The 25628-nt window shown below is 37.2% G+C and overlaps 1 long non-coding RNA gene across 1 annotated transcript in view; it reads right to left on the bottom strand.

Annotated features, from left to right (window-relative positions):
- Positions 1-5926: 5926 nt before the first annotated feature.
- Positions 5927-25628, bottom strand: part of LOC107985670 (uncharacterized) — a 68935-nt gene continuing 49233 nt past the window's right edge. The window contains exon 3 of the long non-coding RNA XR_001755900.2: positions 5927-6062. This is a non-coding gene — a long non-coding RNA (uncharacterized LOC107985670). The remainder of the gene's footprint in view (positions 6063-25628) is intronic.

The raw sequence follows: 25628 nt of genomic DNA, 5'->3' as shown, positions 1-25628 counted from the left end.
GCAATTAAGAGCACCGACTCTAGAGCCAGACTGCATGGGTTTCAATCTCAGCTCTGCCATTCACTATCTGTGTGGCCCTGAGTAAATTACTTAGTTTTCTGTTATTTCATCTCCTCATTTGAGGAGACTTATGTGATTTTTATCTCCTCATTTGAGGATTGTCTCCTCCTTAAATTAGTGATGATAATAATAGAATCTACCTCGTAGACTGTTGTGAGGATTAAATGAGATAAGACTTTACCTAGTAGATACAGAAAGTGCGACATGAGCATTTGTCATCATTATTATGGCAATTCTCAAAGCATTTCTTGGCTTCTGTTCCTGCCACTAACTGCTTCAGAGCAGAGTTTCTTTGGATTAGCTCATCTTTTGTATGCTGGGATTCATGGGACACAAATTGATGCCAAACCTAGGAATAGAATTCCCTTGCTTAGGTACCCATGTATGGTCCAGTTATGGGCAGGGCGATGGGGTCAAAGAATATAAAACATGGCTACTACCCTTGCTGGGATAGCAAGGGTGAGAAGTTTATATTTCCTTTAGAGTGTGAACAGTTAAATGCTGTAGATATATCTAATACACTTGCATAGAGTTCCCAATAAATATTGCTGATGCTAAATAAGCTGGACGAATAATGCAGATATACATAAGATTGAACATGTATCGGGTCCAGAGCTCTCCCTGGAAATATGTTTGAAACTAAATCCTGGAACCACAGAATGTCGAAATTGGCTAGAGTCTTAAAGAGATCTCCCAAATGCAACCTTTCCTCATTTCCACCATCTTTACCCTACGTTTTACGGCTTGAAAAACTGAACCCCTGAGACTAAACATGACAGCCCAAATCATACAGTGACTTGTCAAGAAACTTTAGTTATGCCAGAATTATTGCTACTCCATTAATTGACAATTTAATGCAAGTACTTCTATAAAACCATTTATCCCATATCTCAAATCATACTTCCCACTTAATTTTGTCAGTCCTATGGCCAACACTTAAGCAAATGTCTATCTTTATTTGGGTTCCCATACTCTTTCGTATTGGTTTCTACCTAAAGATAGTACCTCATAATATAATATTTTTTAAAGAGTCTTCCAACCTGACCCCTGCCATGTCAAGGAACTACAGCCAGAAATATTGGAAGAGCCAAGTTATGACATAATCTCATCCATAATTTAGCTTTGATACATAGGGCACCTGTGTATTATATATTGTTATATCTACCAAAATGATTAAACAATTAAAGGAAAATGTAAAATATTTATTTAATAAAAAGGACTACATTTCAATAAAAGGTTCTACCTTTGAGGTTTTGTTATTTCATCCTTCACCTGATTAGATATATTATAGCACTTAATCTTATTTCCTTATTCTTCATGTATTATCATCTGTAAACTTGTGACACTGAAGATAACATTAAATGCAAAAAGTTCATATAAGTATAACCATAATAATGAATAAAGGTAAATATAATCAACTCTCCTTCAATCAAAGCCCTTCAGTTCCCTCAAACACCCTTGTGCATATCTGCCTCTACATCTTTCCCTATCTTAATGCACAAATTCCTTTTTCCCTGATCAACATTTCTTCTGATCTGAATTAACAAATCTTCTCATTATTTGAAAGAGGAAATCTATAGCATCCATTAATTAATAACTTTCAAATAATTTCGTCTTCAATAAAATACCCAATACATTAAAATAATACTAACGTAAACAAGTCTGTCTGTGATATATTCACATAAACAAACTCCTTGGCTTTATTTTTAAAGGTACTGCAAAATGGCTTGAACCCATCATTCTAAGCTTCTCATGCAGCACTGTCCTCCATGAATCTGTCACTCAAGTTGGAAAAGCTTACTTGTTTCTCTGTTAAAATGCCTTGCACATTTCAGCCTCCCTAATGATACTCACTTACAATGACATCCCTGCCCTTCACTGAGGATTTTAACCATCTAAATCCTACTGGTTGTCATAGGAGTTTGGCAAAGTACGAAAACCATGTGAATTGGCTACTACACAGAAAGGCTTCATAGAGGAGAAGAGGCATTAAATGAGCCTTGAAGCCAAAGTAAGGTTTGAAGAAATAGAGAGTAGAGGAAAAAACATTTGGTTTGGGCATTAAGATAAGCAAAGCTGTGGGAGTAGAAATGCACAACAATGGGCCAGGCACGGTGGCTCACGCCTTGTAATCCCAGCACGTTGTGAGGCCAAGGTGTGTGGATCACCTGAAGCCAGGAGTTCGAGACCAGCCTGGCCAACATGGTGAAACCCTATCTCTACTAAAAATACAAAAATTAGCCAGGCGTGGTGGTGGGTGCCTGTAATCCCAGCTACTCGGGAGGTTGAGGCAGGAGAATCACCTGAACCCAGGAGGTGGAGTTTTCAGTGAGCCGAGATGGCACCACTGCACTCTAGCCTGGGTGAAACTCCATTTCAAAAAAAAAAAAAGAAGAAAGAAAAGAGAGGGAGGGAGGGAGGGAGGAAGGAAGGAAGGAAGGAAGGAAGGAAGGAAGGAAGGAAGGAAGGAAGGAAGGAAGGAAGAATGTTTGGGGGATGAAGAAATCAGTTTTGCTAGTGAGAAAAAAATGAGGGTCTAAATCAAACAAATGTATCAATTATGTAAATCCTGCCTTCTTCCACAAGCTGTCTGAGGCAGGAGAGAACACTGGAGATAGAAAAGAAATTATGGATCTGAGCACTAGGAGGAGGGAGAATCAATGAAAGTTTCAGCGTTTTAAGCCTGGAAGTACAGTGATTATATTTTCACATTAGAAAGATTGCTATGGCAACAGTGTAGAGAATGCAGTGGTTGGAAGCAAAGTGATTAGTTAGGAGACATTGTAGCAGTTCAAGCATGAGTTGATGAGGGCTCAGCCTTGACTGGGGTAGTGAAAGTGATAGGGAGAAGGAAATGCGAGTAAGAAAATGTGCAAGAAAACTGGAAGAATAAGATGTCACTGATGAAAACAAGAAAGTTTCAAGAGAGAACCAATCTGAGGGATAATAAAGAGCTAAGATTTGGTCAATGTATGAAGGTTATAGCACACGTGTGTGTTTGTGTGTGTGTGTGTATATGTGTGTAATATGATTTTTTCATAAGATACACTAGATACATATTAAATTGTATAAATCCTAACTTCAAAAGAGACTGGTAGAAGGAGATTCAGAAAGAGGGAAGGGAAGAACTGGGAGAGGTAGTTTACCATCTATCAAGATATAAAAATGGAGTATCCCATTTTTCACCAGCACAAAACCACCAGCTTTTTAGACATGTTAAGATTTAGGTGACAACAGGACCTCAGAATGAAAATTTTCTGGAGATGGTTTGAGAAACTGTATTGGAGTTCAATTAAGAGGTTTGAACTGTAGATAGAAGATTCCAGAGTTATTTCTATGGGGAATAATTAAAGCCTTGAGCCTTCACAAGAGAAAGCACAGGGGGTGAAGAATTAGTTTGGTGAATTACCTATATTTAAGTGTGAGGAAGAAAAAGATGAAGGAGTCATTGGAAAGATTGAGGTACACACTATTGACCCCAAATCAACCAAATACTTTCAAGAAAGGGAGGTCAACCAGCTGTGTTTGTTAAACGCTGAAGAAGGTTCCTGATTTGCTTAGGTTTGACCATTAGGGCTGTTGATTAGGAGATAATTGATGGCCTTTGAGTTCACGAATTCTATAAAGCCACAGGAAATAAAGATGAAATGCAGTGTGTCAGGAGACAGAAAGAGCTATGGAAGGTAACTCTAGGAGACTGACAGGGTTAAGTAAAGGAGCTGCTTCCCCAATCCAAAAAGTGGATGAGGCCCCGTGAAAACTCCATTAATTAGCATTGCATCTTGTTGCAAAAATAATCTAATTATTTTCACTTAACATTGTTTACATAATGCAAATATCTGAATTTATTGTAACATATTTGAAATGTTCACTGGTATAAATTGAAAAATAAATGTCAATTTGTTCTATTACAATAGGTTAAGTCAAAATAACCTTAATTATGCTCGCATGTATTTTAAGGAACTGGCAGTAAATTATTTATGAATGGTCTATTGGGCAGCTATATAATAGCATGCATCTTTGTGTCTATGTGTGTATACATGTGTACGTGTGAACATGCATGTGTGTGTACCCTCAAAATATAAATTGTTTGTTAAATGCCAAATTCAAATTTCACCTCTTTCATAGATCTTTCATTGATCACCCCAGTCTGCATTCTTGCAACCACTAAGCTGACATCTGTATGTTTTATTTAGCTTTTATATTAACTGCCTTATCATATCTCTTTTGATATTTTCTGAAACAGCCCTCTAAATGTTGCTTTTGAGATTTTATTCAGTTGTCCTGTCTCCCCCTCCCCTCCATTAATTTGTAAGGTTCTAAGACAAGAGCTCTTATTTTATTAATCTTTGTGTTCTTCATTTAGCATAAGTTTTGCACATAGTAGAAAATTAGTAATTATTTATTGATTTCATCGTTTATTGTTTAAATAGCCTGAAATTTTGCACATAAGTTCCATGTATTTTCATATTATTTGTTCATGTAGTGCCATCATTTTATACAGTATACTAATATTTAACAGAAGTCATTTGTAGCCTTCATGCTCTTTTACATTTTAACTTACTCTATATTTGAAAGGTAGTAGACTTTGGAAGCCCTGAATCATTATTGATCTTTTTGGACAGTATTCTCTTTGTGTTTTCTGGCCACTTTTACCCTTCATCTGTTACAGTAATTTTACTCTTAGCTTCTAAATATGCATCAATGATTCAGTCAACATTTCTGGTTCTCCACTGAGGTCTAAATCATTTTCAATCTGCTCCACTCATGTACAGATAATTTTTCCAAGTTAGTTAGAAAGAAACACAGACGAAATGGAGTGCCCAATGTCATTAGACTTTATAAGCCAAGGAATTATGCATTTGGGAGAATAGCTACAAATCCAAGGATCAATCTTGTACCTCCTCCCTGCACCACACGTGTGTGTACCTAAAACATAGCTGCAGTTTTATCACAAGGACCTAGGGTGAGGGATTCTGAGAGGTTGGCAAAGGAAGGATGGAAAAAACAAATGAGAGAAGAAGTAGCAAGTAAAGCAGAATTCAAATAGCAAGAAAAGAATTCAAGACAAGAAGGAAAAAGGAGAAATCTTGTCTTTTTAATGTTGAATACTTATTAGGCATGTGTTCTACTTTTATACGAAGCTCTCATTTTTAGGAAAAGAATCAACTAGGAGAAAACATTATTCTTCCCTCTACCTAAAAAACAGTTTTCTAATATAGCCATTTCAATAAAAAATGGAACATTAAATATGATCAACTCATCTCTCCTATAATATAACTATTTACTGGTAGTTACAACACAAGAATACCACAGTACTTGTTCTCACAAGGGGTCACAATGACTTCCACTGGGTGGTTACTATATACCTAACAGGACCCATTATACTCTGGCTATCCCTCTCTGGGCCTCAAAGTACCCTTTATAAAATGAAATGTTTAGACTCGATGAGGACTAAGGTGTTTCAATTTCTATCAATCCCTTGGTTGATGGTGTTTGATGGTATTCTTCCCCAATCCTATTACTTTTTAAACATTGACACAATATGATAGCATGGAAAGAACACCAGATTTGTCCTCAGAGGAGCTCAGTTCCTATCTTAGCACTGCTGTTAAGTGATCTTCAGAAGATAACATCATATTGCTGCACCCAATAAGTAAAAGAGAGGAGACATTTCAACTAAGTACATTTCATTTTTTAATGTTTTTAATCACTCATTTTTTTTAACTTTTAAGTCAGGGGTCCATGTGCAGGTTTGTTACATAGGTAAACTTGCATCCTAGGGATTCGTTGTACAGATTATTTCATCATCCAGGTGTTTAGCCTAGTACATTAGTTATTTTTCCTGATGCTCTCCCCGCTCCAGAAGGCCCCAGTGTATGTTGTTCTCTGGGTGTCCTTGTGCTCTCATGATTTAGCTCCCAGTTATAAGTGAGAACATGCGGTATTTGGTTTTCTGTTCCTGTGATAGTTTGCTAAGGCCTCCAAGTCCACACTGGTTCCTGCAAAGAACATGACTTTGTTAAAAAAAAAAAAAAAAACATATTTTAAGTTCAGGGGTACAAGTGCAGGTTTTTTTTTTTTACATAAGTAAATTTATGTCTTGGGGTTTTTTTGTACAGATTATTTTATCTCCCAGGTATTAAGCCTAGAGAAGGGAGAGGATCGATAAAAATATTTAATGAATCTCCTTCTTTTTTATGGCTGCATAGTATTCCATGGTGTATATATACCACATTTTCTTTATCCAGTCTATCATCAATGGACATTTAGGTTGATTCCATGTCTTTCCTGTTATTAATAGTGTTGCAATAAATATACACGTGCATGTAACTTTAAAATATAATGATTTATATTCCTTTGGTTATATACCCAGTAATGGGATTGCTGATTCAAATTGTATTTTTGTCTTTTTACTTATCTTTTTTAAAATTTCAGTAGTTTTGGGGGAGCATGTGGTATTTGGTTACATGAGTAAGTTCTTCAGTGGTGCTTTCTGAGAGTTTGGTGCACCCATCACCTGAGTAGTGTACACTGTTTCCAGTGTGTAGTCTTTTATCCCTCACCCGCCTCCCACCATTCCCCCTTAGTCCCCAAAGTCCACTGTAGCATTCTTATGCCTTTGTGTCCTCATAGCTTAGCTCACTATTATAAGTGAGAACATACCATGTTTGGTTTTCCATTCCTGAGTTACTTCACTAAGAATAATGGTCTCCAACTCCATCCAGGTTGCTGCAAATGCCATTGATTTATTCTTGTTTATGGCTGAGTAGTATTCATATATAAATATATATATATATATACACATATTCTTTATCCACTTGTTGATTGATGGGCATTTGAACTGGTTCCATATGTTTGCAATCACGAATTGTGCTTCTACAAACATGCATGTGCAAGTTATTTTTCATATAATAACTTCTTTTTTCTCTAGGTAGATACCTGGTAGTGGGATTGCTGGATCAAATGGTAGATCTACTTGTCATTATTTAAGGAATCTCCATACAGTTTTCCATAGTGGTTGTACTAGTTTACATTCCCACTAGCAGTGCAAAAGTGTTCCTTTTTTGCCACATCCATGCCAACATGTATTTTTGTTTTATTTTTAAAAAATGGCAATTCTTGCAGGAGTAAAGTGGTATCACATTGTGGTTTCCATTTACATTTCCCTGATCATTATTGATGTTGAGCATTTTTTTATGTTTGCTGGCCATTTGTATATCTTCTTTTGAGAATTGTCTATTCATGTCCTTAGCCCACTTTTTGATGGGTTGTTTTTTCTTGCTGATTTGAGTTCCTTATAGATTCTGGATATTAGTCCTTTGTCAGAGGCATAGTACGCAAAAATTTTCTCTCAATCTGCGTGTGGTATGTAGCATTTTGCTGTGCAGAAGCTTTTTAGTTCAATTAAGTCCTACCTATTTATCTTTGCTTTTGTTGCATTTGCTTTTGGGTTCTTGGTCATGAAGTCTTTGCCTAAGCCAATGTCTAGAAGAGTTTTTCTGATGTTATCATGTAGAATTTTTATTATTTTGAGTCTTAGATTTAAGTCTTTGATCCATCCTAAGTTAATTTTTACATAAGACAAGAGATGAGGATCTAGTTTTATTCTACATGTGGCTTGCTAATTATCCCAGCACCATTTGTTGAATAGAGTGTTTTTTACCCACTTTATGTTTTTGTTTGCTTTGTCAAAGATCAGTTGGCTATTAAAATTTGGCTCTATTTCTGGGCCCTCTATTCTGTTCCATTGATCTATGTGCCTATTTTTTATATCAGTACCATGCTGTTTTGGTGACACTAGCTTTATAATGTAGTATAAAGTCCGGTAACATGATGCTTCCAGATTTGTTCATTTGCTTAGTCTTGCTTTGGGATGCGGGATCTTTTTTGGTTGCATATGAATTTTTTTTCTTTTTTTAATTTATTATTATTATTATACTTTAAGTTTTAGGGTACGTGTGCACAATGTGCAGGTTAGTTACATATTTATACATGTGCCATGCTGGTGTGCTGCACCCATTAACTGGTCATTTAGCATTGGGTATATCTCCTAAAGCTATCCCTCCCCCCTCCTCCCACCCCACAACAGTCCGCAGAGTGTGATGTTTCCCTTCCTGTGTCCATGTGTTCTCATTGTTCAATTCCCACCTATGAGTGAGAATATGCAGTGTTTGGTTTTTTTTTCTTGTGATAGTTTACTGAGAATGATGATTTCCAATTTCATCCATGTCCCTACAAAGGACATGAACTCATCATTTTTTATGGCTGCATAGTATTCCATTGTGTATATGTGCCACATTTTCTTAATCCAGTCTATCATTGTTGGACATTTGGGTTGGTTCTAAGTCTTTGCTATTGTGAATAGTGCCGCAATAAACATATGTGTGCATATGTCTTTATGGCAGCATGATTTATAGTCCTTTGGGTATATACCCAGTAATGGGATGGCTGGGTCAAATGGTATTTCTAGTTCTAGATCCCTGAGGAATCCCCACACTGACTTCCACAAGGGTTGAACTAGTTTACAGTCCCACCAACAGTGTAAAAGTGTTCCTGTTTCTCCACATCCTCTCCAGCACCTGTTGTTTCCTGACTTTTTAATGATTGCCATTCTAACTGGTGTGAGATGGTATCTTATTGTGGTTTTGATTTGCATTTCTCTGATGGCCAGTGATGGTGAGCATTTTTTCATGTGTTTTTTGGCTGCATAAATGTCTTCTTTTGAGAAGTGTCTCTTCATATCTTTCGCCCACTTTTTGATGTGGTTGTTTGTTTTGTTCTTGTAAATTTGTTTGAGTTCATTGTAGATTCTGGATATTAGCCCTTTCTTTGTCAGATGAGTAGGTTGCGAAAATTTTCTCCCATTTTGTAGGTTGCCTGTTCACTCTGATGGTAGTTTCTTTTGCTGTGCAGAAGCTCTTTAGTTTCATTAGATCCCATTTGTCAATGTTGGCTTTTGTTGCCATTGCTTTTGGTGTTTTAGACATGAAGTCCTTGCCCATTCCTATGTCCTGAATGGTAGTGCCTAGGTATTCTTCTAGGGTTTTTCTGGTTTTAGGTCTAACATTTAAGTCTTTAATCCATCTTGAATTAATTTTTTTATAAGGTGTAAGGAAGGGATCCATTTTCAGCTTTCTACATATGGCTAGCCAGTTTTCCCAGCACCATTTATTAAATAGGGAATCCTTTCCCCATTGCTTGTTTTTGTCAGGTTTGTCAAAGATCAGATAGTTGTAGATATGCAGCATTATTTCTGAGGGCTCTGTTCTGTTCCATTGATCTATATCTCTGTTTTGGTACCAGTACCATGCTGTTTTGGTTACTGTAGCCTTGTAGTACAGTTTGAAGTCAGGTAGCGTGATGCCTCCAGCTTTGTTCTTTTGGCTTAGGATTGTCTTGGCAATGTGGGCTCTTTTTTGGTTCCATATGAACTTTAAAGTAGCTTTTTCCAATTCCATGAAGAAAGTCATTGGTAGCTTGATGAGGGTTTTAATCATAAAGAGATGCTGGTTTTGTCTAATGCTTTTTCTGCATCTATTACGATGGCCATACTGTTTCTGTTCTTAATTATGTTTATGTGGTGTATCACATTTATTGACTTGTGTTTTCAAATGATTCCTTCATCCCTGGTATAAACCCACTTGATCATGGTGGATTATCTTTTTTGACATGCTGTTGATTTGGTTAGCTAGTGTTTTGTTGAGGATTTTTGCATCTATGTTCATTAGGGATATTTGTCTCTAGTTTTCTCTTTTTGTTATGTCCTTTCCTGATTTTGGTATTAGGGTGATACTGGTTTCATAGAATTATTTAGAGAGGATTCCCTCTTTCTCTATTTTATGGAATAGTTCTAACAGGTTGGGTACCAATTCTTTGAATGTCTAATAGAATTCATCTGGTCCTGGAGTTTTTTCATTGGCAATTTTTTAGTTACCATTTCAATCTCACTGCTTGTTACTGGTCTGTTAAGAGTTTCTATTTCTTCCTGGTTTAATTTAGAAGGGTTGTATATTTCCAGGAATGTATTAATATCCTCTAGGTTTTCTAGTTTGTGTGTGTAAAGGTATTGATAGTAGCCTTGAATGATTTTTTTTATATTTATGTGGTTCTAATACCTCCTGTTTCATTTCTAATTGAGCTTACTTGGATCTTTTCTGTTATTTTCTTCATTACTCTCACTAATGGTCTATCAATTTTGTTTATCTTTTCAAATAACTAAGTTTTTGTTGTATTTATTTTTTGTATTTTTTTGTTTCAATTTCATTTAGTTCTGCTCTATTTTGTTCTTTCTTTTCTTCTGCTGTGTTCGGGCTTGTTTGTTCTTTTTTCTCTAGTTCCTTGAGGTGTGACCTTAGATTGTCTATTTTTGCTCTTTCAGACTTTTTGATGTCGGCATTTAATGCTATAGTCTTTCCTCTTACCACCACTTTTCTTTTATCCTAGAGGTTTTGATAGGTGGTGTCACTACTGTCATTCAGTTCAAATAATTTTTTCATTTCCATCTTGATTTCATGTTGACCCAAAGATCATTCAGGAACAGATTATTTCATTTCTATTTATTTGCATGGTTTTGAGAGTTCCTTTTGGAGTTGATTTCCACTGTGGTCTGAGAGAGTACATGATATAATTTTGATTTTCTTAAATTTATTGAGACTTGTTTTGTGGCTTACTATATGGTCTGTCTTGGAGAATGTTTCATATGCTGATGAATAGAATGTATATTTTGCAGTTATTGGATAGGATGTTCTGTAAATATCTGTTAAGTCCATTTGTTCTAGGGTATAGTTTAAGTCTATTGTTTGTTTGTTTACTTTCTGTCTTGATGACTTGTCTAATGCTGTTAGTGGAGTATTAAAGTCCTCCACTGTAATTATCTTGCCATTTTTCTCATTTCTGAGGTCTAGTAGTAAATGTTTTATAAAAATTTGGGAGCGTCATTGTTAGGTACATATATATTTAGGATTGTGATATTTTCCTCTGAGACTAGTCCTTTTATCATTATATAATGTCCTTCTTTGTCTTACTTAACTGTTGCTGCTTTAAAGTCTGTTTTGTCTGATATAAGAATAGCTATTCCACTTGCATGGAGTATCTTTTTACACCTCTTTACCTTAAGTTTGTCTGAGTCCTTATGTGATAAATGACTCTCTTGAAGACAGCAGATACTTAGTGAATTCTTATCTATTCTGCCATTGTGTATCTTTTAAGTGGAGCATTTAGGCCATTTGTATTCAATGTTAGTATTGAGATGTGAGGTACTATTCTATTCATCATGCTAGTTGTTGCCTGAATATCTTGTTTTGTTTTCATTATGTTATGGCTTTACAGGCCCCATGAGAGTTATGCTTTAAGGAGGTTCTATTTTGGTGTGTTTCAAGGGTTTGTTTGAAGATTTATAACTCCTTTCCATGGTTTCTGGAGTGCTGGCTTTGTAGTGACAAATTCTCTCAGCATTTGTTTGTCTGAAAAAGACTACTTTTCCTTTGTTTATGATTTATTATGTTTACTTTCACTGGATACAAAATTCTTGGCTAATAATTATTCTGTTTAAAGAGGCAAAAAATAAAACCGCAATCCCTTTTAGCTTGTACGGTTTCTGCTGAGACATCTTCTGTTGATCTGATAAGTTTTCCTACGTAGGTTACCTGATGCTTTTGCAACACAGCTCTTAGGATTCTTTCCTTCATTTTCATTTTAGATAACCTAATGACTATATGTCTAGGTGATGATCTTTTACAATGAATTTCTGGGGTGTTCTTTGAGCTTCTTTTATTTGGATGCCTAGATCTCTAGCAAGGCTAGGGAAGTTTTTCTTGATTTTTTCCTCAAATAAGTTTTCCAAACTTTTAGATTTCTCTTCTGCCTCAGGAACACCAATTATTCTTAGGTTTGATTATTTAACATAATCCCAAACTTCTTGGCAGCTTTTTAATCATTTTTTTATTTGTCTTTGTCAGATTGGATTAATTAGAAAGCTTTGTCTTCGAGCTCTGAAGTTCTCCTTGTTTGATTATATTGTTGAAACTTTTCAGTGTATTTTGCATTTCCCTAGGTGCATCTTTCATTTCTAGAAGTTGTCATTTTTATTTATGATATTGAATTCTTTGGAGATTTTTCATCTATATCCTGTATTTTTTTAAATTTAAGTTGGTTTTCACCTATCTATTTTGCCTCCTTGAGTAGCTTAATAGTCAATGTTCTGAATTCTTTTTCTAACAACTCATAGATTTCCTCTTGGTTTAGATCCATGTCTGGTTAGCTAGTGTGATCTTTTGGGGATGTTATAGAAACTTGTTTTTCTGGTCTATTCTCTTTTTGGTAGACAAGGTCACAGGAAAAATCTAGAACTCAAGAGCTGCTGTTCAGATTCTTTTGGACCATGGGGACAAAAGATTCATGATGTGGTGCTCTCCCCCTTCCCCTGGGGATGGGGCCTCCTGAGAGCTGGACTGCAGTGTTTGTTATTGCTCTTCCAAGTCTAGCCAACCATTGGAGCTACTGGGCTACAGGCTTGTTCTGCAGAGTGTGTGCATATAATCCTGTGATGTGATTTGTCTTCAGGTCTCTCAGCTGTGGGTACCAGCACCTCCTTTGGTGGAGGTAGCAGGGGAGTGAAACAGACTCTGTGAGAGTCCTTGGTTGTAGTCTTGTTTATTGTGAAGGTTTTCTTGAATGCTGGTTATTCCAGCAGTGAAGTTGTCATGTGGACAGACTCAGGACCTCTGTTTAGCCAGGATGTTACAAGCAGTGGAATTATCTGTTGTTTTCTCCTGACTTGGAGCAGGATTGTTCTGTTAGGCATTGCAGTAATGGCTTGAGTTGATTGGCCTCCGGCCAGGAGGTGGCACTTTGAAGAGAGCATAAACTGTGGTAGTATAGGGGGGATACAAGCTTGCTCTAAGTTTGCCTGAATAAGTATTTGGGTTTCTCAGGCTATGGGTGAGGCCACAGAGTTCCCACGAGTTTATGTCTTTTGTCTTTGGCTACCAGAGCAGCTAGAGAAAAACTATCAGGTAGGGGCAGGGTTAGGTCTGCCTGAGCTCAGACTCTCCTTGGGTGGGTCTTGCTGTGGCCACTGCTGGGGGTGAGGTGTGGTTCTCAGGCCAATAGAGTTATGTTCCAAGGGCAATTATGGCTGCCTCTGCTGCTTTGCACAGGTCACCAGGAAAGTGGGGAAAAGCTGGCAGTGACAGGCCTCACCAAGTTCTGATGCAGCCAGCATGGATAGTCTCACTCCCGCTGTGCTCCCTCAACAGCCAACACAGATAACTTTAAATCCAGACCTAAAGTGCACAAGGCTGAGATCTTGTCCCTGGCTACGAGCTTCCTAGCTGAGAAAGCAAGCAGGGCTTTCAGGCCCCATTCTAGTGCCATTTGATCTCTGTGCTCATATCTGTACTTCCTGTTCACCACACCACTACTCCCCCAGATTCTGCCTAGGAAAACTGGTGCTCCGTTGAAATTATTACAAAATTCAACTGGAAGTCTCTTTCTCCCTGTGGCCCTTCCCCAATACTACTGGCTGCCCTCCCCAAGGACCCCTGTGATATAAAATTAGAAATGGCTTCCCTGGGTACCAGGAGTGCCTCCAGGGCTCTTCCTGCTGCTTCTTCTACTTTTATATTTTGCTTGGCTCTCTAAATTCATTTCAGCTCTAGGTTAGGTTAATTTTTTCTCTTGTGATCTGGATTTTAATGTTCCCCAGTGATGATATGTGTTTGGAGGTGGACTTTCCTCCTCTCATACTTTGGGCACTCACAGTTTTTCAGCTATCTCACGGAGATTGCAGCAGCAAGCTGCTTTATTCAAAAGGTCTGTGAATTCTTTGTTTTCCTGATATCTTTCTGCAGTGGCTCTTGAAGCAAAAACTCATGATGTGAGTCTCCACACACTGTTCTGTTCATCCAATTGGAAGCTGTAAGTTAGTCCTGCCTCCTTTCTGCGTTTTATTTTTTATTTTTTATTTTTTTATTTTTTGGTGTTTCTGTCTTTAGGTCCTTGAGGAATCACCACACTTTCTTCCACAATTGCTGAACTAATGTACACTCCCACCAAGAGTGCATAAGCATTCCCTTTTCACCACAACCTCACCAACATCTGTTATTTTTTGACCTTTTAGTAATAGCCATTCTTACCGGTATATGATGGTATCCCATTATGATTTTGATTTGCATTTCTCTAATGATCAGTGATGTAGAGATTGTTTTCATGTGATTGTTGACCAAATGTATGTCTTCTGAATCCTACTGAATTTTTTAGCTTGTATATTGACAGAACCACTTTACTGATTACCCAAGATTTCTAGAATTCCCTATATCCAGTCAGTAACTAAGTCTTCCCAAATATCTCTTGCAAACACCTCCTTCTCACCTCCTAATATTTACTGACTCACTTAGGTTCTCATTATATTTTTGGACTATTGGAACAGTCTCTTAACTGGTTGCTCTGCCTCGAAGTTTAACCCTGTCAAGTTCTTCCCTTGCACTGTTGCCAGAGCAATCTTTCTAAAGAACGTCTTGAAATACGTCATTCTAGTGCTCAAAATTCTTCAGTGGCTCCCCATTGCATCCGATAAAATGTCCAAAGTGTTTATCCTTGCCATTCAGATCCATGCTACCATTCAACTAATGTATTCACTCTTTCCTGAGTGTGTCTTGCACTTTCTCACTTCCATACCTATATTCAATGCTGTTTCCTCTATAAGACACACCCTCTCTACATTATTCCTTTTTGCTTATTGGATTCCAACCATCCTTTAAGGTTCAATTTACATTCTTACTGCTTCCATGAAGCTTTCTCTGATTTCTCAAATAAATATAATTTCTCCCTATCCTGTGCTCCCACAGCACTACTTCTAAACCTCTCTAATCATGCTTATTACATTCTTCTGTGTATCAACTCATTCATGTCCATGATCTTGTGTCTCACTGGACTGTAATTTATTTAAGGACAGGGTTCCTGTTTTACTCACTTCTACTGCTGCTCTGACATGCTCAGTATAGCCTAATGCAGGATCCTGCTGCTCTGCACATAATCAGAAAACAAAGAAGTTTAAAATGCATGGAGCTGACTCCAAATAAAGAACAGAAACAGTTTTAGTACATCAATGTACTAGAGCTGTCACAGATCAAATGAATTCTTACTCTCACCACTAAGAAGAGAGAAAAATAAGACATGTCAAATCTACACAAAAGGCAATGACTGTAACCTGAGGATCCTAAAGAGTTAGCTAATGCACTGGGAATTCAAGGGCAAGGAGCTTTATAAATTACAAGAGACCAGAAGAGAGAATAAATAAATGTAAAAAGTGAGTTTCACTCCCATCAAAATGAAGCAAGATGTCTCCTGATAGTTACTCCTTGATAGGTAAAATCCAGAAAAAAAGACAGTCCTTCAGGCCTAACACAAAATTAAATCACAAGCTATCAGAATTGTAGATACTAACCAAAAACACATTGTACTAAACAGATTAATCACTTTACCTTGGAACAAATTAGAGTAATTAACAAATTACTTCATAAAGTATCCCTGGATTTAGGTAAAGCAATCAACAGGGCTTTCTGGTTTGACCTTGGGGACACAATTAGTTTCAGGGCTGATTGGCTGTGAGGGCCGTATGTGTGCTTAGATGAATAAGAAGGGAAACATTCTGATAATGGTTTCAAGTACCACAGGGTCAAATAACATCCAGGATTTATGACCCAACTTATGAAAAAAAATACAAACCCTCACATGCACAAAAGCATTTCTCTAAATCCCAATTTGGCCATATTAGTAGAAGATAACAACAAGCAAAGTTATAAAAAGACACTATTGCCTAAAGCCAGTACTGTGGAGTTGGCTGAGCATATATTCATTGGCCATGCATTGCTATTTTCTATTCCCTCTCTCATTTTGTGCTATCTGTCTCTTCTCTATAGCTCCCCAAGTGCCTTATAGCTTCAAACTGCCCCATAATGACCCAGAATCTTTTCTTATTACCATCCTCCCCAGCAGTCAGGGCCTTGGATTTCTCTCTTCCCCACTCAACTCAAAATTGCCTTGTCTTTCATTCACCACCTTACTCAGCCTACAACTGGCTCTCCAAAGAGAGGCTGAGAACTCACAACAGAATGAGTTAGCTACCTCTTCTAAGAATATCAGTATATTAGTGGATAGTGACTAAATCCAAAAGTGTGAACCTCCAATTTTCAGGCATATCAGCAAGTGAGGTGAATAATTTTTTCCTCTTAAAACAAGGGAACCTAAAATAAAGATATAAGTTCTAGTGCTGTCTGTCTTGCTCATTGACACCGTGGCTTTGAAATGGTCACTTGGTTTCTATGAAATGTGGTTTTCCTCTCTGAAAAACTGAACAGTTTATGTAGATTTCTTCCAGTTATAATAATCTGTACTCAATAACTCTCAGCACATTCACTACTCTACTTATTCAACCTCTGCATAAGACTGGCCCTAGTTGTCACCAATCACATTGACAGATGGAGAAACCTATATTTCTATTTCTTGCCACTGCTACCAAATATATTTGCACTCAACTCAATAGAACTAATTCCACCATAGTGGGCACTAAGTAAAACATTACTGATTAAAGTGATATAAGATTTTATCTGCACATAAGTACAAAAGAGTAGCTGTTGAGTAATGAGTTTTTATTCTATAATGGGAAGAATATTGGACTTAAAGTCAAGCGACTGGGATACAAATAAGTCTACTACTTATTTGCTCTGTTTTCAGTTATAGGTAAGTTTCTTAACTTCTCAAACATCCATTTCTCTGGTTTGTAAAACAAAATGCCAAATATTCTTAATTTCTACATCTGGGGGCTACAGCAAGGGTTAAGTAAGAAAATATATGTGAAGTCTGTGGCATAGGATATGGAAAATAGCAGGGGCCCAGTTTACAATGCTCTCAGCTGGAAACTGTAATTGCTCAAGATTTTATCTAAAAAATAAATCTTGATGCAAATTGAATGTGCATAATCAAAATTAACAGGCTCATCTGGAAGGATTGATCCGTGAGTGAATATCCATAAGTGCATATTCTCCTCATAAAATTATGAAAGAGAATAAGGAAAACTTTTTTTTTTTTTTTTTTTTTGAGACGGAGTGTCGCTCTGTCGCCCAGGCTGGAGTGCAGTGGTGCGATCTCGGCTCACTGCAAGCTCCGCCCCCCAGGTTCACGCCATTCTCCTGCCTCAGCCTCCTGAGTAGCTGGGACTACAGGCACCTGCCACCACACCCGGCTAATTTTTTGTATTTTTAGTACAGACGGAGTTTCACTGTGTTAGCCAGGATGGTCTCGACCTCCTGACTTTGTGATCCGCCCACCTCAGCCTCCCAAAGAAAAACTTTTAACCACTGTGACATCCAAAGAAATGTCACTAGGATATTCATGTGTACATTTTTTTTTCTGCTTAGAGACAAGGAGAAGAAAAAGGAAAAGGAGCATTTTATTCTTATATATTGTCTACTTCTCCCCTATATGTCCCAGAGGCAATTACTATTGTTCTTATTTTGTATTTATGAAAATAGAACTGTGGAATGCCTCCTGAAAGAAGTAATAGAAAGCCATATTGGAAGCATTTGCAGCTAGCTAATAGTTGACTAGAGCCTCTAAATTAAACATTTCTGCTGCTTTTAACAAAGAACTTTTAGAGGTCTTCATTAAGACACAAGAAGTTTTGAATCTCTAAACCAGAATTTTGCTTACAAAGATATGTAGAGTGAGGCAGAGGTTATACAGTTCCTTTTATTTCTATGCACACTCAAGTATTTTAAAAACGAAACAAGAAAGATGCTTTTAATCATAAATAAATCATGCATAACTTGGGTTTCATGTCAAGTAAGAATTTTGTGAAATAAGCAATTTAACCACACATGAGCTAAACACATTGTTATGTATTTCTTTGTCTGTATGGTAACTTTATCCTTGCACTATATTTAGCCTCCAATAGCAAGTTCCCATCAATTCAACACATTATTATTATGTGAGAGCCTGGGCTAATGGCTATGGGACCCAGAAATGAATGAGACTTTATCTCTGCCTTTCATGAAACACACCAGTTCCTTGTTTGGGAAGTCAATGAGCATGACTCTACATATCCTAGCTTAAATGACTGAGTGATATCATTAGCTAGGAGTAGAAAGGAAGGAGGGAGAACAAATTTGGAGGGGAAAAGATGAGTTTGGTTTTGAATAGGTTGTATTGACATGCCTATAGGACACCTACCCGGAGAATTCTAGTACCATAGATAGATGGCCTGATGTTCAGAAAAAAATTCACAATGGGAGATATATATTATTGAGTCATATTCATAAAGGATGCAGTTGAAGCCAAGGGAGTGAATGTGATCACACAAGAAGAACAGGTAGAATGAAATGAGAAAGGAAGCTGAGACATCACTGATTGAACCTTAGTATCTACTTTTGTTCCTTCCTCAAATTCCTCTAATACAGCAGTATGGATTTTTAAAAGTCATGAACCCACAGATGCAAAGCGAGAAAGAAAGGAGACAACCATATAATTTTAGAAGCTGGAAAGCAGGTGGTTTCATGTTAACTAATTTAACAGCTAGAAGAAAGTGATTGCCTCTGGAAAGCAGGAAATGTTAGGGGAGAGATGCAAGTGTACTACTGATTTTTATAACTCTTTTGTGACAAGCCTAGCAGAAATCTGAATACATGTGGGTTGAGAAGTAAATTCAAGAAGAAGAATTCGAGACACCAAATATTAACTATGTTTACAAGAAGTTTGGTTATGAAATGAATGAAGCAGATATAGCTTGAAGCATTGGGAGAGGAATAAAGGATTTGGAGTTTGTGTAAAACAGTTGATACTGGAACACATTTGCAAGCTGTGAGAAAAGGTGAGAAGAATTAAAACGAGGTTCAATGATATAGGAGAGGAGAAGAAAAAGAATGAATGACTACAAGAACATTGGATGGGGAAGTAGGAGAGAACTGTCACCTGATGGCATTTTTAAAAGATAAACAGAAATGTAGGTTATCTGCTCAAAATGAGAAGGCCAGAAGTGTGGGCCTGAGAAGAAAAATGAAGGTTTGGAACAGCTGCTGTGGGAAAAAGTAGAAGAAGCCAACTATGGATGAGAAACGGATTAAGGATAAGAGTTGAGGGCCGAGCTGAGATTGGAAAGCATGCATTTGTCATGAAGCCAATGAACATGAATATGTAATTTTCCCCAGATGGGTCTTCAGCAGCCTGGGAACAAGAACAGGCAAAGTGGACCACTGAACTGAATCAAGCCTGGGCAGGAATTGCCAAAGCTGTGAGATAGAAGGTGAAGAAATCAAAGGAATGGAAAATGCTTGTGAAAGTGTCCTTGAAATGGGGCCCAGAATAGAGAGGAAGGGAGAAGACAGGTTGTGGCTGCTAGCCTAAGAGATTAAGTAAGAGAGAAGAAAATGAAGGCCAAAATAAAAACAATTCGATTGATCACAAGACCATTCCTTGGTGTTTCAGATACAAGTTCAGGTGACTATTGCCTCTATGACCAAATTTCTGAACTCTTTTAGCTGGATAGCTGTTGATTTTCCAGTAAGTGCACTGTTAATTAGGTTCAAATGATTGCTTTCTACCATGAGTTATTTCACTGTGGTGATCCAGTTTTCCCATTATTTTTAATGTATTTCTCTCAACTAATCTTGAGGCACAATGAGGAGAAGTATGTATTTAATAATCTCCTTTCACATGTGGCTCTAAGTCTGGCTCTGCCTCAGAGACCCATTACTGTAGGGAACACAAAGAACATTTGGAAGCTATCGATTTTCTGAGCATCCCAACGTGTGGCCTGCCCTGCAAAGAAATCTGGCTAATCCCTTTTTCAGTCCTCCTCTAGAGGGCAGCTGCTTCCTTCATCAGTTTGGAAGCACAGCTCCTTGCCCAGATGGCTGTTCACCATTTGCAGGTTCCCATTTTACAAGTAGGGAAGTGGGAGTTGGTGGGTGGTGGGTATTCATTCACCAGAGAATACAGAAGACGTAAGGCCTGTCAATTCCCAATCCATACAGGCCTCCTCTAGCCTTCTGGATAATGTCACCAGGGTTTTAAGAGAAACTTTTACTTAAGTCCACAAAGTTGTGGATTCAGACATGTTTGCATCAATAGTAATTGCCCCTAGCTAATGAAAAGTGTAGAAGTAACTTCTTTAGCTTCCCTTTAGTTAGGGGAAAATGTCGTATACCTCCTGCCTTAATTTATTCATTATTAAATGGTTTACTTAAGATAAATATTTTTGTGGGGAAAATATTACCAGTGATTTTAAGATTACCAGCTACGATAGAAGGCAACAAAACATTTAATTGACGTACCTTACATTCTCATGGAAATAAAGTTTATGCTCACAGAAGGTGTAACATAATTAGAGTCCATTATATTGGTCTCCTGCTCCTTACTATTGGAAAACGTAAACTTGTTGGGGCTCCTTGATAGATTATCTGTGCTACTGCACATTATTCATCAAATGGGAATTTCACAGAAATTGATACTGTATCATTTGCCTTAACACAGCCTTTCTCTGTTCTTACGCCCCAAAGCATAAAAGTTCTGAATGTTTGTTTGGCTATTCCATTCCCATTGAAGCCTCAGTATTTTTCCTAAATATTGCAACTTTACTATTATGTATCCAACTGGAACAAAAATCCAATGAGAGAGAGACTTGAAAGCCAACATCAGTTGTTCATAGAGCAAATGTTCAAGAGCTGTGTAAAGTACTGGTTAAACAAGCGAGCTAACATAGCTTTGACTACAACTCTTTCCCATCTTTGTTTGAAATATGAAGAACGAATTTTGGTACCAATATCTCAGTTTTGTTAGCAGAAAAAGCTTTTAGACTAACATTTGTAAGAATAATTCAGTTATCATAGAATATATAGGTCTGCTAGACATTTTCGGGAATCTGTAACCAAAGGCACAGAAATATGACTGTTAACCTACATGAAAGTGGCACTATTTCTAGTTTCATAGGTTTAAACCAAACCAAAATAATCTAGTTCTGCTTAAAATGAAAAATAAAATATAGCCTTTGGCTTACCTTGGGACTAAATTATATTTACTGAAAAAGTCCTTCAAATACTTAATTGAATGCTTCTTGGAATGAGAAATTGGGTCTGTATATGCATATGACTTCAGCTAGTTCTTTGCTAATTTTAACTTGTACTTATTTTCTAACCTCACTCTTATGTCGCAAAAATGATTGTGCAAACTATATTCAGTGAAGCTCAATTGTAAGACACTTATTCTCCTTTAGGTTTGAGATGGAGAAAAAACATTTGCTCTTGCCATACCTCTGGAAAGTTCTGCTTCTGCCTTTAAATGAACTCAGCTCACTAAAACTATCCACAGCAACTTTCATTTCACTGTTTTTTCTTTTATTTTATATTTTACTTTTTTGACTCTTATATCCTGTTACTTCCTTCAGGTAAATATTTGTGACCTTGGCATCTTTTTCCAGAGCCTTTGGTTTATGGGCTTTCATTCCACAAAGTACAGCACACCAGGAAGAAAATGTTGTTTCAAAAGTCTGACATATTTTTTTTACACTAGAGAGACTCATTCTCTGAAATATTCATTAAAATAAAATCCTTCCTTACCGTGAACCAGAATATGACAAGGGTTAAGGGTAGGTAGGAGAATCTCCCCAGCTGAAATTTTTGTAACAGTAAAGAAAGAAAGACAGCAGCCATTTTTAGATAGATATGTGTATGTTACAGTTTTTGTCAGGCTGAGTGTGCAGCTCAAAAAATTAAACAATTCTAGTATGTTACAAGGATTAACTACTATATTTCAAAATATTTGTAGGTTAGTTTTGCAGGAGAAAAAGAACAGCTTCGTCTAATGGAACAAGGATATTTACTGCAGAAGAAGCCAAGAAATCTGTTTTTTAAGCATATTTGCAATAGGAAAAAGTACCCAAAAGAGAGCCCTTTTTGTAGAAAGACTGGAAACATTTTCTGGGTCATTTAAAATGCTGTCCAGTCAACCATGGCCAATTTATGATTAAAAGCAGAAATGAAAACTGAAATAAAACTGCAAAGTGTCCTTTTGGTAGGATTTTCTTTCTCAGAAATGTATAATAGATGTGATTTATGTATTATCCACGTCTGATGTGCTAAGTCACTGAAATTCCCTTTAAAGAGGCAATTTATTATTAAGGACCCAGGCCCTAGCTGTAAGGCCACAGTAAATTGGAATGCAAAATAACTGTTAGTCCAGTTGCTAGCAGTCCATTTTAATACCTCAGAAATGGAGAAAACAGTATACCTTAACAAAACGCAACTCATTGTTTTGGCCCAGTAGGTAATCATGTACATGTGATTTCAAGAACTTTAGAAAAACCATCCCGATCCAAAATATTTCCCTTGAAGCCTATTTTGTTGATTGAAATTTCTACCACGACAGTATCTCTTTGGGTTAGAATGCTGTTAAAATAGGTCTACCCTTGAGAGGTAATATACAAATAGCCATGAACAGATTAATGTGGCTTCATTATCCATTCCTTGGTAGAGAGAAAAGTTCTGACAATGTTGGGAAGACTAAGGATGTGCATGTACAATACAACAATGAGTAAAAGAAGATACTGGATTTTTGTTGGATCCCACTTGGAAGGGGAGCTTGAGTGTTAAGGACATAGGGACTGGATAAACTCTAAAAGGAAAGGCGGCACACCATAAACCATGATGTGGTAGAAAGAATACTGACCTGGAAGTCAAAACACATAGTATCGGTTCCTTTTCTAGAAATATCCCATGACCTTGAGCAAGTCCTCCCCCTCTCTAAATTCAAATTTCTACGTCTATCAAAAGTGGAAAAGATAGATGGAATAAGTAATCTCTGAAGTCCCATGCAGCACTCTCTAATCCAAAAAGATACGGGCAGAGTACAGCTGAGGGTAAGGTGGCTATTTCACCATTTTGTTCAGCCCCAGTCTTAACTTCTGGGCTCCAAATAAATATCTGTGAAGATGCTATGGAAACAGTAAGAAGCAAAGTAGAGTTCCCCTTAGAGGAACTCATTACAAGGAATAACAACATTCCTTATCAAAAAATAATTCTTTTTTCCCATTGCTCCTCCTACTCTGTCATTATTGTGATTGCTAAAACCAACTGACTGCCTATTAAAAAATTATGTGCCAGTTTTCTCTATCTAACACAATATATTTTTAACTTTTTTAAACTTTATTTTCCACATTTCATCTACTAAAGACTCAAAGCTTACCAAACCAAGTTTCTTTTTAATTTTTCTGGCTGGCTTTTCAAATATGTGTTGTAACACAACAAGAAAAAACAAAACAAAACATGAAAATGATCATTATAAGGGTGAGACACCAAATGAAAAGATGGAAAGCATTTAAAGGGTAGTACAATCCTTCCTCTTACCAGTATGAGATTGCTTTCTATGATTAGCCTTCACAAATATTGCACAGTCCATATTTAAATACCATAAATGATGCTGTCACATTCCACTGGAGACCATGCCTTAGTCTAAAAAGATTTCACTGTCAAGAACTTTGTAACTGTTACTAAGCCTAAACTCTCATCTTTTACTCCCATGCTTTCTTATTAAACATTAAGTAACAGTAAAAAGGAAGTACCCACCAACACCATCACCATTTTGTTCACCAATTTCCACATTTCGAAGCCACAGTTGAACCCACTTTCTTTGGCCTGTTCTTTCAGCCCTTTAACCTAAGGTGTTTTGTTTTTGTTTTTGTTTTGCTTTGTTTTGTTTTTTGTTTTTAGACTAGAGTGCAGTGGTGCGATCTTGGCTCACTGCAGCCTCAACCTCCCTGGCTCAAGCAATCCTCCTACCTCAGCCTCCCAAGTAGTTGAGACTACAGACGCACACCATGATGTCCTGCTAATTTTTATATTTTTTTGTGTAGACAGAGTTTTGCCATGTTGTCCAGGCTGGTCTTGAACTCCTGGGCTCAAGCGATCCACCCGCCTAAGCCTCCCAAAGTGCTGGGATTACAGGTGTGTTCCACTGTGCCTGGCCAACCTAAGCTGTTTTAGACCAACTTGTTCTGTTCAAATTTGCTTGAGCCTCTTCTCATTGGACAATAAGGCATTTCTGGGTTCATTCACTGCCATTAGCAAATGACTAGTTTCTTTTGGCAACTGTAGCTTGGTTTCAGCAAAGGCATTTCTTTGGGTCACACCACTATACTCTAGCTGCCCGACTTGCATAGGAAAAGCACTCCCAATGCTTTCTTTATCAGAACAGAGACAAACTTAACGTTTTGGGTAAGATGCATCTTGAAAAATGGTTCCATCTTTGAAATGTTACTCTCCATGTAACACAAAGTTACCTTTGGCCTATTGGAAATCTGGACTCTAATTGCTTGTTTTGGTGTAGTCATACCTGCCTAAAAAAATGGAAATTTGTTTTGGAAGTATTATTTGTGTAAAGTACAAAACATTTTTAAATGGCTCCCTCTGGCAAATGTGGGCCTCATGAGAAAATCACAAAGGAATCTGGCTGTGTTTAATCTTGTGACTCTCCTGGAATATTATGGAAATAATACATTTGAAACAAGGGAAATAGAGGAGTTCTGGAGTTCCCTGAAATAATAAATTTGAAACAAGGGAAATAGAGGAATTCTGGAGTTCCCTGGGGACTTTAGGAATTGTCATATATATATATATATATATATATATATATATATATATATATATATATATCTCAGCTATGTTGACATTTTTGTGAGATATATAAATAAGCATGGTTTCTGCCTTCATAGTGCTTAAAAAAGATAAGCTATTTGTCCTGAAAATCATAGTCTGAATATGGTCAATATCATTAAAAATACATAAATTAATTGCTAAAGGAATTTGGAGATTACAAATTATTTCCAGCAACAGGAATCTGCAATATCTGATTCAATAACAAAAATTAAATATTTGTTGACTGAATGAATGAATGAGTGAGTGAGTGAGTGAGTGAAAGATTGTGGGCAAAGGATAGGGCAGCTGCTTGAGTTGAACCTTGAAGAACATAAAGGATTCAAATAGACATAGATAGAAATAGTACTTTCCAAGAAAATAAAAAACACAAGCAAAGATGGGAAAGCCCAAGGGATGAACTTAGAGTTGGTTGATCCAATTTGGATGGAGGAGAAGCTTCCTAAAGAGAAGATAGGATCATACTGTGGATAGACTAAAATGAAAAGGTAAACATGTGTGTGTTTTCACACCAGCCACTTCCTCTCTGGCACATTTAACACAGTCCTTGTTATTTTCTGGAGCTCCTCCATCTGTCTGAATCCTTCTCAAAAATACACAGTATTTAGCTTCCACTCCAAAGCAGGGTTGGCATCAAAAGGAAGTTCATGCCTTCATCTTCGGCTCCTGATACCTGAAACATACCCCCACCACCAAGGTGTACCCTGACCTTGATTATGGCCTTGTTGTAATGATAATCTGAAAATGAACAGTCCCGGCCTTAGCAGGCTTGACTTTCATAATTATCCTTCAAATTGCCTACTCTAGCACTCCTTTTCTTCACATACAATATCTTTCTCCACTCACTTCCTGCAAGGTCAAACCGTG

Source organism: Homo sapiens, chromosome X (genome assembly GCF_000001405.40).
Source record: "Homo sapiens chromosome X, GRCh38.p14 Primary Assembly".
Lineage (NCBI taxonomy): Eukaryota > Metazoa > Chordata > Mammalia > Primates > Hominidae > Homo > Homo sapiens.
This window is presented reverse-complemented; position numbering and strand designations above follow the sequence as displayed.